Genomic DNA, 13,082 nt, shown 5'->3' with positions numbered 1-13,082 from the left:
TTGCATGTGAAATGTTGTTTTTTGTTTGTCTGTTTGTTGCTACCAAAATGATTTAAATGGATTTTACCTGTTGCTATAATTGTATAATTTAATTTTATGGAAAGTGAATGAAATGTGAATGGACAAAGAGTTGTGACTTCTTGGAAAAATAAATGAAATGCATTAATTGCTTCATTAAATGCTTTATTGAGATAAATCTGTAAAATCAAGCAAGGGAGAGAGAAGTTTGAAAGATTATAAAATTATTGTAAAATTGTAGGAGGATTCTGCATTAAGTTTGCTTCGTCATCTGATATTTATCTTTTCCTCAATAAATGGTAGTTATTGTTTATTGTTTTGAAGAATTAGTAACCAGGTAGACAAAAAGTTAGTGCATATCAGGTTCCTTTTCATTTATCAGCAGACTGACACTTGAAAGACAGTTTGGATGAGAGGATGGAGATTAGGTTTAACTTCCAAGGCATGGGAAAATGTGTCTCTAACAAATATTTTAAAATATCTTCTCGGGAGGCTGTGTTGATTTTCCCACACTTTGATGGAGTCAATCTTTCAGATAACAATTAAATATCTGCTTGAATAATATTCTCCAAGGAGAGCATCATAGGCCAAATTTATTGTATTAAAATTTTTTATACTCTAAAATTAAACAAAGGAGTTTGACATTACTCAACTAGGTTAAATTATTAATTTACAGGGTATCCAAGTGATTAAATGGAAAGTCATGAGAATTGCACAGAACAATGGGATTTTCACCAACCACCCTATTTAAAATTGCAACCCTTACCCCACCCTTCATTCATAGTTCTCCCTACCCTCTTTCCTGATCTACTTTTTGCCATAACAATTATTACCTTCTTATACACCATATAATGTCCTTATTTATTTTATTGCCTATCTTCTCCTACAGTCAAGATTATATATTTACACACACAAATTCATCAATCAATAAATTTGTGAATGAAGTAAAAATGTGAGTTAGTTATATTACTAATTAATAGAACTTTCCCAGTAGATAAAGCTTGCCACGAAGTTACTCGAGGATTAGATAAAATACATACACACATTCTCTCTAAATCATAAGGTGATATGTAGTAAGAAGAATCAGTGGTAAATACTTATGTTTATTAGGATAGCTTTGAAGATGATGTTGAATTCAAGAAACAAATCCATCTCAAAATGACTTAAACAATATTTATTACTTCATATAACAAGAAGTTTCAGAAACAGTGTAGCTCCATATTGTTCAGTTTAGGAGTCCAGTGAACATATCATGGACTCAACTTCTCTGAATCTTTATGTTCTTTCGTCCTCAAACTATGAGATCTACTCTCAGGATTCAAAGAAGCTGCAACAATCCAGGCATCACAGCCAAATGCAATCACATTCAGAAAAGGAATAGACTTTTTCTGTGTGTTTCCTTTTAAAAGTTAGGAAATATTTCCTGGAAGTTATTAGTTATCCTCATGTCTCATTGGCCAGAATTGTACCACATGCCTATGATACTAACCAATCATTGGTGAGGAGAATGAGATCACCGGGGTTGACTAATTAGGACTTACTCTCGGAGTTAGGCTTATCCTGAAGCACACAGCCATGAGAAAAGGGCTAAGAACTGGAACAAAATGGATTTCTTTGGAGTAGAAAAGAGGGGTAAGAACAAATGTTTGGTAGTGTCTGCTACAATATTAAATGCATTTATATGTGAAGCTAAGGCAAAATAATAACGGGATTGGTTGACGAAATAAAAATAGTGCTTTAACTCAAATCTAGAAGTCAGGAGAGGGAGGCAGTATGAGAGTAATATTTTCTTATCTTTCATAGGGGAGAGTCAATTGACATTGTTGGTACTTGAAGTATATAGTTTAAAACAACATAATGGAACCGAATCTTTTAATGATTTTTGGATTTTTCCATAACCTTAACCAACTAATTCTTTGTCAGAAGACACTTGCTTGTCTGACTTCTATTAATTTTATTTCAATTTATTTTTCTAGTGTTTAAAGTAAAATTACATTTTTATTTAAATATTATTTATATTACAAAATTATTTTATAAATGTATCCATATATCTTTTTTTATTCTCCATATATTTGTACACAAATTAATAGCTGGAATGAAGTTCATCAAATGTTAATGAGATGTATTTTTAATTATTGACATTATATATATTTGCTACCTGTTTTGTACTCTTCTGAATAGCTTAAATATTTTGGAATGGGAATGTTTCATTTTTATGAAAATGATAACATTGTTTTAAAAAAGTAAAATAAAAAAGACAAGTAGACATATAAAATTGTAAAGGTATCTCCATATTGTTAAGTTCAATAAGCAAATTGTTAAAAAAAAAAGTGTAGTACAATCTCAATTTGTCAAAAAGGGGGAGGGGGCTATATTATTAGAGAAAAAATTTCTAGACATTTGTGTATCACACAGATGACAATGTTTATCTTTGGGTACAACGCTGGTTTATGGGGACTTTGACTTTACACATATTTCTGTAGTGTTTGAATTATTCTTCAATGATTGTACAATTCTTTTGAATTAGAAAATATAATAAGTATAAATGTAGTAGTAATGATTAATCTAATCCCTGAGTCCTGTTCATTAGATTATTGACCCTAATGAAGCTGTAAGCCCCTGATTCCCAGCTGCCTCTGTAAAAGCCACCATCAACCTCAGTCATTCTCTGCTGCTTGAAACAGTTCCTGTTGAATCACTCTGAGGCTGGAGAAGTCAGTCACAGGTGCCTCCTCACCTGGGGTAAATACTGGCTCACTTAATTGTTGCTGGGGCCAATTTGAAGGGAAGCATGATGCAATAATGCTTGTGTCTAAGCCTGTGTGCTTAGACTCCCTGCTCTGCCCTCCTTGCGCTCTATCAGAAGGTGTCTGGGCAAGAGAGTACTATGGCTGCACTCCAAATAGTGACCCTAAATCATTACAGTAAAATTAATAATAAAATTATTACCTCCCTTCTAGTGTCCTGAAGGTATCATAGATAAAGGGCAGAAATGTGCAGGCAGGTGGAGTTCCTTACAACTGAGCCTATTGGATCTTAAGATACAGGGGTTTTGAGGCATTGGTTTCCTGAAGTAAGTGTTGCACTTTACGTCTAGTCTTTTCCCTGGTATTTTTGACTACTGCTCCACAGTTGATTTGGAATATTCAGTTTTCAATGGAAAATTGTTTCCTAAATGCTTAAACATATTAAATATGAGAGTTATAGAGTATCAGCTTTAGGAGCACCTGGCACACATTTTTAACTTTCCACTGAAATATCAATGGCTATACACAGAAAGACAAAATAAAGCACACACCACCACCAAGACACTTTCAGACAAGTTGTTACCATATCTTTGTGGCATTTCACAAACTATAAAGATGAGAGAACTACATTGAGAATTACTGGCCTTGAGGAAACAGAGTGCAAAGAAACATGGCAGTGAGAGTAGGGATTCATTCTACCTGTATTAGTTTCCTAGGACTGTTAAAAAATACCACAAACTGCATGGCTTAAAACAACATAAGTTTATTCTTTCATAATTCTGGAGGATAAAAGTCTGAAATCATGGTGTTGGTAAGGCCACGCTCCCTCCAAAGTTTCTAGGGAAGAATCCTACTGTGCCTCTTCCTAGCTTTTGGTAGCTTCTGGCAATACTTGGCGCTTGGCCTGTAGATGCATCACTCCATCTTTGCCTCTGTTTTCACATGGCTTTCTTCCCTGTATGTATCCAGTCATTGGATTTAGAGCTTACACTAATCCAGTGTGAGTTCACCTTAACTTCTGCAAAGAACCTCTTTCTGAGTATGGTAACATTCACAGATATCAGGGACTAGGACTTAAACTTATCTGTTTGGAGACACAATTTAACCCATGACACTAACTGAAACCAAAAGAAATACATTGAGTTAATGCATATTAGATGCTGTGTTAAGTAATTTTCACTAAGTAAGGCAGTGGTAACAAACCACCCCTGAATTTTCAGTGGCCTGCAATAATACAGGTTTATTTATGTCTAATGTTGCATGTCAACTATGGGTCTGTAAGGCCCTGAAGGCTTTGCTCTACATGTCTTCTTCATTCCTGGATTCAGGATGAAAAAGCAGTTGTAATTTCTGACACTGTTATGGGTTGAATTATGATCCCCTCCAAATTCATATGATGAAGTTCTAATCCCTAGTACCTCAGAATGTGACCTGATTTGGAAAGAGAGTCATTGCAGATACAATTAGGTAAGATAGGCCCTAATGCAATATGAACGGTGTCTTTATAAAATGGGGAAATTTGGACACAGAGACAGACACACACAGAGGCATGTTGATCTAAAGAGTCAAATTCTGTAAAATATTTGAAGAGATTTATTTTGAGCCAAATATAAGTGACCAGCGGCCTGTGACACAGCCCCAGGATACCCTGAGAACATGTGCCCAAGGTGGCAGGGCTACAGCTTGGTTTTATACAATTTAGGGAGACATAAGACATCATCAATACATGTAAGATGTACATTGGTTCTTTCTGGAAAGGCAAGACAAAGTGGGGGCTTCCAGGTGATAGGTGTACTCAAAGATTTTCTGATTGGCAATTGGTTGAAAGAGTTATTAAGACCTGGAATCAATAGAAAGAAATGTCTGGGTTAAGATAAGGGGTTGTGAGAACAAGGTTTTTTCACGCGGATGGAGCCTCCAGGTAGCAGGCTTCAGAGCTCTTATCAGACCTAAATCGGTGCCAGACTCTGTTAATTCTCTCCTGAGTCAGGGAAGAAACCTGGAAAGGAACAGGGATTCCCTACAGAATGTAGATTTTCCCCACAAGAGATACCTTTGCAGAGCCATTTCAAAATATGTCAAAGAAATATATTTTGGGGTAAAATACTTCTATTTCTTTCAGGGTGTACCAATGATCTGTCAAGTGATGCGACACTAGAATCAGGCTGGAATTTGGCGTCTTACGGCTACAAAAGTGTTTCATCAGTCTTCAGGTCTCTGTGCTGATGTTAATGCTGGTCAGCTGTGCCTGAATTCCAACGGGAGGAAGGTATAATGAGGCACATCTTACCCCTATTTCCCATCATGGCCTGAACTGGTTTTTCAGCTTAATTGGAATGCCCTTGGTGAGAGGAGGGGTCTATTCAGTTGGTTGGGGGTTTAGAATTTTATTTTTGGTTTACAGGAAAGATGATGTGCAGAGACACAGGGAGAAGACGGCCATCCACAAGCCAAGGCGAGAGGCCTGGACAGATCTTTCCCTCACAGTCCTCGGAAAGAACCAATCCTTTGAACTTCTTGATTGTGGACTTCTAGGCTCCGGAAGTGTGAGGCAATAAATTTATGTTATTTGAGCCCCAGTTTTGTGGGTACCTTATCTGGCAGGTCTAAGAAACGAACACAGACATGCCAGTCTCATGGCAGAGGGAAAAAAGTATATGCATGGAAATATTCAGTGGTTTTTCAAGCTTCTGCTCAGAACTAGCTTACATAATTTCCCCTCGCTCTCCCCTGGCCAAACCTAACAATGGGGTGACTCTGATTGGAATCTAGAGGAACCACAGATGCATATGTCTGCTAAGTGCTGAGGAACAGGAAGGATGGGGCCTGGAGAGAAAAACAAAGGCAAATTTACCCCAGTTTTCAGGGGCTTCGGTAGATGAAGCTCTGCTAGAGGAGAGACCTGTAATAAACACAATCTCCAACATGAAGCGAGCTGGGTTTTCTCTAAAGCTGCATCCATCCCAAGTCAGCTCAACTCCTGATTAGAACCAGGTGATCGGCCCCTCACCTTATTTGCCAGACAGAGGAAAGGCAAGCCCTGTCTGAAAAAAGGGGGGATAATTTTGACTTTAGTCTCTACTATCCTTTTATAGACAATGTCTGAAATAGAGACAGAGAGAGACAGAGAGACAGAGAGAGGGAGAGAGAGATGAAATGAAGTAGGAAGATGTGACCATAACCAAGAACAAATATAATTAGGTATTAGGTTTGGAGCTAGACAGTTTTGGCCCTACAGTTTTTTAGGCCGATCATTTTAGTCATCTGTGTTAACTCAGTGTCCCCGCAGGCAACTGAGTTTGTGACCTACTACTCCCTCATTAGAACATGAAGCTTATGTTCAATATATAGGAAGAATGGGAAAATAATATAAATTTAAAATTCCAAAGTGTAATTATATTTTTAATCATGTGCTTTGAAATGATCAGGACCAAAAGGAAACTGAAGAAAACTCTTTAGCATCTTCAATAGCTATCCCATGTATTTATCTGTTCAACAAGTATACGCTAGGCATTGTGCTAAGTGTTAGAAATTTGGGAATGAACAAGACAGACCCAGGTTATGTTCCAGTGGAGTTTAGAGTGCAACAGGCAGAACCATTAACTAAATAAGGAAAATGAAGGCAAAAGGCTAAGGTAACTACAACAACTACAAAATAGAGTGCTAAGACCAAAAATGGTGTTTATGGTCCCCAGAATGTAGTGAGGGTGGGATTCCTCTGGAGGGCACTGCTCTGTCACGTGAGTGGGTATGTGGGTCATTGGCCACAGGGGATATGATCCCTATCTCTTCTTATGAAACTGCTTTCACTTAGGAAGACTCACTCCCAGGAAAGATGGGATCCCTCCAATCCCTCGTTGTTTCAGCTGGAGAATCGCCTCAGATTTCTGAATAGAAATACCTGAGAGCCCGGTGAGGACCTATGCCTCTGCCCCTATTCCCCAGAGTACCACTGCTCCTCAGTTCTTGGATGTCGGAAGCCTTGACTAGCTTTAATTCTCTGTTGTTTTTGGCCAAAGTGAGAGAGTTTCTACTAACATATCCTTATTCTCTTTTCTGCCCTGGTGTCTAACAGTTTATTCTGCTTATTATGCCCGTATCTTTACTCCTCTAAACTTAACAGTACTGATAATAATGGCACCAGATGACCCAGGTAGAGCATTTACCACATACAGGCACTGCTCTAAGGAGTTTCCATATGTTAATTCATTTTATCCTCACAACACCTGGGTGTAATGCTCCTTTATTATTAATTTATTATCATATAACACTATTATTTATTTTATATTCTCATCATTATTGATCTATTCTGGCCTTCAAGACCTTATGTTTCCTTTAATATCCACATAACCCATTTCCTCAGAGCTTAACCTTTCCCCTGAGGATTATTTTTCTTCCTCCAGTTTAATTAGTCTGTCTTTCTTGATTTATTTTCATGTTTCTACTGCTTCTGTTCCGAGATGAAGGCTGAACCAATTTTTTAAAAAGCCACTGTCAAGTCTTCCTTGACTTCTGAGCAAACTTGATTCCTAGAGGCAGAATGTTTCAAGCACAGGCCTTTTAAATTACCTTTTTTCTTGGTTCTGCAATATTTCAGTTGAGCCTAAGAAGTTAGCATTTGTTTCTATACTAAAGGCCCTATTTATTTTTATTTTTATTTTTTTGGTGAAATAAACCACTCTTCTGTGAATTCAGCTACAACTTGTGTCTTACACCATTTTTAAGCCATTTCAGAACTTATGCAATTAAAAAATCCAGAGCCAACTTGAGATTATATGAGGGATAGAGTTTTAAGCATTTGTGGACAAGAGCTTAGCTAAGCTAAGCTTATATCCAAGCGTAGCTCCTCCACTATTTCCTATTTTTCATGAATGAAATTCCGAATGACATGAAACATCACAGTATTTGGAGAAATCTATGCCACTCTCTACTTTGGCCTCACATTAACAAGTTCAAGCTAAGATTCCACACTATTTTTCTGTAGTTTCTGTAGAACACAGTTGTAATTTAAGATTTGATCTAATTGGCAAAACAATACAAAAAAAACCCAAGTGAAAGCTTCAAATAATTTATGCAACTCCCAAATATCTAAAAAGCATGACATGAGAACACTTTCCTGTGTAATCAAGTCCTCCGCTTACTATGGCCCCATGGCCGCCCGTACCTGCTCGGGTTCCCTCCACCCCTCAAACTGCATTTTTTTGCTAAGGTGCCTGTGTGGTTTCAATGTGAAGCAATGGCAGTATGCACCTGCAGATGCCCAGCAGCCTGAGAAATTGAGATATGCTGAGACCAAGGCACCCTGTGCTTTTGCTGAGGCCTGCTTGAATATTCCTAAACCCAGTGAAGAGGTACAAAACAACTACTTGCCTGTGAACAAAGTTTCCATAAACTTCAGTGACATGTCAAGGAAAAACAAATCCATGCAGTTTTAAACTCTCCACTTTCTGCTCCAGTGTCCAATCTTTTATTGTTACTTTGTCCCTCAAATTCAGCTTTGTATATATATATTTTTCAAGTTTCAAACAGATTTTGGAGTTTTAGGATGCCCAATGAATGACACCTTGCTTTCTCTACCCAAGATTGAACCAATTGGAGAGACAAAACAGTGAAAGACAGAGAGCAAAATATTACTTCTATTACTGAGGAAGGGTTTTGGGTGACCTCTGTGAGTGGCAACAGTGGGCTTTCTAACTTTGAACATTAGAACTAGGCAGACCTGTGCACTGGGTCCCAGGCAGTCCTGGAAAGCCCTATGCCTCCCAAATTAAGCTGTTCCTTTAAAACTTACAGCAAAGAAGAACAGATGAGACGAGACGAGCACTTATGGTATCTATAACAGCCGGACAGGGACACTGTGGAAAGAGTTAAGCTGCACATGCTCAGTTCCTTACCCCAAACTCACCAATCAGCCATTCCTCATCCCTAGGGCTAGAAGGACCATGAGGGCAAGAGTGCCAGAAGTGGTTGGCAGTGGAGCTCCATCCGCACAGAGGGAACTAGCATGAGTGAGAAAGTGTGTCCCCCTGCTTACAATTTAATAGGGAAAACACTAACAATGGTGCTAATTAGGCAAAGGACAATATAAAATAGAGATTTTTCTATAGAAAATCAGGCAAAAGACATAGACAACAGAAGAAATCCAAAGTATAAAGAAATAGCTGAAAATTGTTCAATTCCACTTGTAATAAAATAATTGAAAATCAATTATGATACTGTTTTTCCACTAAAGTAGTGAAAATGTTATAAAATTTCTAGAAATTATTTCAATCAAGATATTTAATGTGTTTTAATGCATTAAGTTCATTTCTGGAAATACGGTAAAAGTAAATGATGATAATATGGACAAATATTTAAGGACAAAGATGTTTCTTGTAGTGTAATTTATACTAACAAAAATGTGATAATAACCTCAATATTTAACTGTGGAATACTGGTGAATTAATTGTAATGATGGACTATTATGTGGCTATCAACATTAATCTTTAATAAAATTTAACAACTTTGAGCAATGCTCATGATTAAAGATTAACAAATCAAGATATACAGATCTCTCTGTGTGTATATTTAATAATGCAAACTATGAGCATCTGTCTGTATGCCTAGCAAAGCATAGCAAGAAATATATAAAATATAAACCCTACTTTGTTTAATTTTAATTTTTCTCTTTATACTTTTATAGAAATTATTTTATATTACTATATAATTGTTAATTGCATATACATTAATTTTCTACAACAAGTATATGTTACTCTTTTACAATTAGGAAAACACAAACACTTAAAATGTCATGAATTTTAACACAGTTTAGCCCACAGTCATCAATTACACTCCATAGAGCAGAAACCATCATCAATTGCACTCCATAAAGCAGGAACCACAGGAAGTAGGAGGCTTTTGGGGAGCAGCAATCAGAACCACAGAGCAGAACTGAAGTGAAGTAGAGGGTGATTCAGTATCAAACCATGGCTTTTAGCCATCAGCATCATTATAGTCATAGTGAGTATTCATCTAATTCTTACTGCATCCCACACAAAGTCTTCAGAACCTTGCATGAAATAACTCATTAAATCCTCACAACTCTATGAGAGTGGTACTATTTTATTAGTTTTAGTTTATAGTTGATAAAACTCTGAGGCAAAGTGAGAGTTTTAACCTGTCTGAGTTCAGATAGCCAGTAAGTACAGAGAGCAGTCTCTTATTTAGAGCAATCATATCCTAGAGTCTGTGCTTTTAATTCCACTGCCTCTGTGCTGGCATTTGTTCCCCCATGTTATGGTCCAGGAAGGTATTTTTGGTACAGTGGGTACTCTCGTAGGTTCTTTCCATACAATAATCTTTATCACCTTATTCATTGTGAGGTCCCCAGAAGTTTGATAAGAGTCAACTCCAGGATATTTGAATCTAAATTCCACGTTCTTCCTACCTGACCATGCAGAATACCAGAATAACAATTCTCTTTTTGTTATTATGAGAGTGAATTTTCTCATTAGTAGGACAGTTACACTAAGAGGCCAGCTTTGCTTTGTGTCCTGTGTAGTATCTTGGTACACACACTCCTGATTATGAAAGAGTTAAAATTTTGATTCATCATGAACCATTTGTGTTCTATTTTCAAAGTAGGTTAAGAAATAATAATTTTCTCATTAGTAGGACAGTTACACTAAGAGGCCAGCTTTGCTTTGTGTCCTGTGTAGTATCTTGGTACACACACTCCTGATTATGAAAGAGTTAAAATTTTGATTCATCATGAACCATTTGTGTTCTATTTTCAAAGTAGGTTAAGAAATATAATGTAATATAATTAGAAGATATTTTAAATATCATTATTTAGTTGGATTGTGAATACTGCTTAGAGAGAATTGGACACAAGAAAATCAACTTCCAAAGTTGAAGGAACATATATTCCCACCTACCTCGTTACTTAAAAAAAGTAGTCATCAAATTTTGTAAGTAATTTGTATAGATTAAAATAACCCAGTGAAAAATATTAACTCTTTCAGTATCCTGAGCTTTCATATGCCCCTTATGAAAGGTAGCCAGATATGCCATTCAAACGCAGTCTGAAAATAAAGGAACCTCCTTTCTTTGTGTCATAGTAGAAGCCAGCTTTAAGAAGCCCTGAACACACTGTCAATACATAATGAGTTGAGAATAAATTGAAAAGCGAAATAAATGACAGCTCATTACTTTCACTGATGAAAACAAATTAATTATAGCAACTGGCTGGCAGAAATAATGCTGTACAAGGCAGGCAAATACAATCTATTTAAGTAGCTCATTGATTGCAAAAGAAATTTAGATCATATGAAATTTTATTAAGGCGCACTAGACGCTTAGAGTCTTTGTTACCACTGACAGCTTCATACTGTGTGTTCTCATAGTACTGTATATTTTCCCAAATATTTTGCCTTAGTAAAAATTATAGGGTTTATAGTGCTTTAAATGCAATCTGTGGACCAACTCTTGTGCTACAAGTCCCCCCACTTCTTGCAACACACTGCCGCCTTAATGGTGTCAATTCTTAGCCATTCAAAGAAAGAAAATAATTTTCATGATATACTGGGTGATTTTCTCTTTTCTCAATTAGATAAGCAACCTGTTATTAAACTAATATGTTCATGAGAAAACTTTAATTTTGAAGATACTATCTTAGACAACTTGCAAATGGAAATTAGGGAGGATACACCAGTGAAATGAATGGATGATTAAATATCAGACTAGATTAAAGTCATTCCACCAGACTCCAACGTGGAGAGATGATGATATTGAAGAAGAGCTGACCCCCACTCAATGCTTCCCTGCACCCCACACCCCAACAGAACATGGTTGCAACTCTAGGGAAATTGACTTATGTTAGGTTTCTGCTTCTTAGAGGAATAAAGACTAAAAAGAATAAAGTTTCAGAAAAAATAAAATTTACGGTTTTTTGGTATTTAAGTTTGCAGACCAGTAAGGGAGAGAAGAATAGACAGTTAACAGATTTTACACACACACACACACACACACACACACACACACACACGCACACACAGAAACACATGGTATAATGCTACTGAATTTCAGGAGGTATCTCTAAATTATGTGAGCAAGAAAGGCCTATCTGAAAAGGTGATATTTAAGATGAAACAGCCATGTGTTGCTAAATGATGGAGATATATTCTGAGAAATGTGTCCTTAGGTGATTTCATCATTTTGTGAACATTATGGAGTTCACTTACTTACACAATCCTAAACCTAGATGGTACAGTCTATTACATGCCCAGGCTGTATGGTATAGTCTATTGCTTCTAGGCTACAAACCTGTGCAGCATGTTCCTGTACTGAATACTGTAGGCAATTGTAACACAATGAGAAGTATTTGGGAATCTAAACGTATCTAACATAGAAACGGTACAGTAGAGATACTGTATTATAATCTTATGCGACTACCAGACTACCATCATACATGTGGTCTGTTGCTGCCTGAACCATCATTATGGTGAACGACTGGATGTCATAAAGATTTTGAAAGAAAGAACATTCTTGGCAGAAGCTACAGTACATGGAAAGCTTTGAGGCAAGACAGACGTTGTGCTTAGAGAATCTGTAAGACACTTGTGTGTGTGTGTGTGTGTGTTTGTATCATAGTGAGAGAGGATGTGAGTGGAACAGGATGAGAGGAGACACATTTCCTTCCCAGAATATTCCACCCTCTGGTAGCACTGCAGAGGTAAATTTAACTTAACCAGACCCCTCACCCAACTTCAGTCATATTCTTTCTCTTGGAAATTTAGAATTGGGACACAGATTCTGGGGCAGTCAGGGGCCGTGGGGAGCTGTGCTGCACTGTCACATTGTGTGGGCCAGTGTCAGCCTCAGGGGGAGTCAGAGCCATGTGGAAGTCAATGTCATGGAAAGTCAGAAACAGCAGTTTTCAAGAAAAGGCTTTATTATTTATTTTTTATTTTTTTCAGAGAGGACAAAGGAGCACATGCTCAAAAAGAAGTAGATTGGGAGTGCCTGCGGACCCAGAGACTGACCATCAAAGAAGGTAGTTGCCTGACTATTTTTCTGTGCTCCTGCTCTTCATACCCCGTGTGAGTCTATGGTGGACTCCTCCCTCCCAATTTTGGTCTGCTTAGCACTCATTTCTTCTGCAACTTATGAACTCTGGTGAGACTGTTAATTGTAGTGTCTTTCTGGCCTTTTGGTCCAGGGATGGGCATGTGACCCAGTGAGGGTTCCTCCTAGATTTGGCATATGGACACTGGGAGAAAAAGCTCTCTCTTCGTTTTGAAGCATGAGCAATAAGGGATGTAGGTTTCCAAAGGAGCT

General features: G+C 37.3%; 1 long non-coding RNA gene across 1 annotated transcript; it reads left to right on the top strand.

The window, feature by feature from the left end:
• Positions 1-1,557: 1,557 nt before the first annotated feature.
• On the top strand, positions 1,558-7,451 carry LOC105377908 (uncharacterized). Its single transcript, XR_942807.4, has 3 exons — positions 1,558-1,650; positions 4,888-5,034; positions 5,170-7,451. It is a non-coding gene; the product is annotated as an uncharacterized LOC105377908 (long non-coding RNA).
• The last annotated feature ends 5,631 nt before the right edge of the window (positions 7,452-13,082 follow it).

This window comes from Homo sapiens, chromosome 6 (assembly GCF_000001405.40).
Source record: "Homo sapiens chromosome 6, GRCh38.p14 Primary Assembly".
In the NCBI taxonomy this organism is placed as follows: domain Eukaryota; kingdom Metazoa; phylum Chordata; class Mammalia; order Primates; family Hominidae; genus Homo; species Homo sapiens.
Note: the sequence above shows the minus strand (reverse complement) of the source record. Positions and strands in the feature narration are given on the sequence as shown.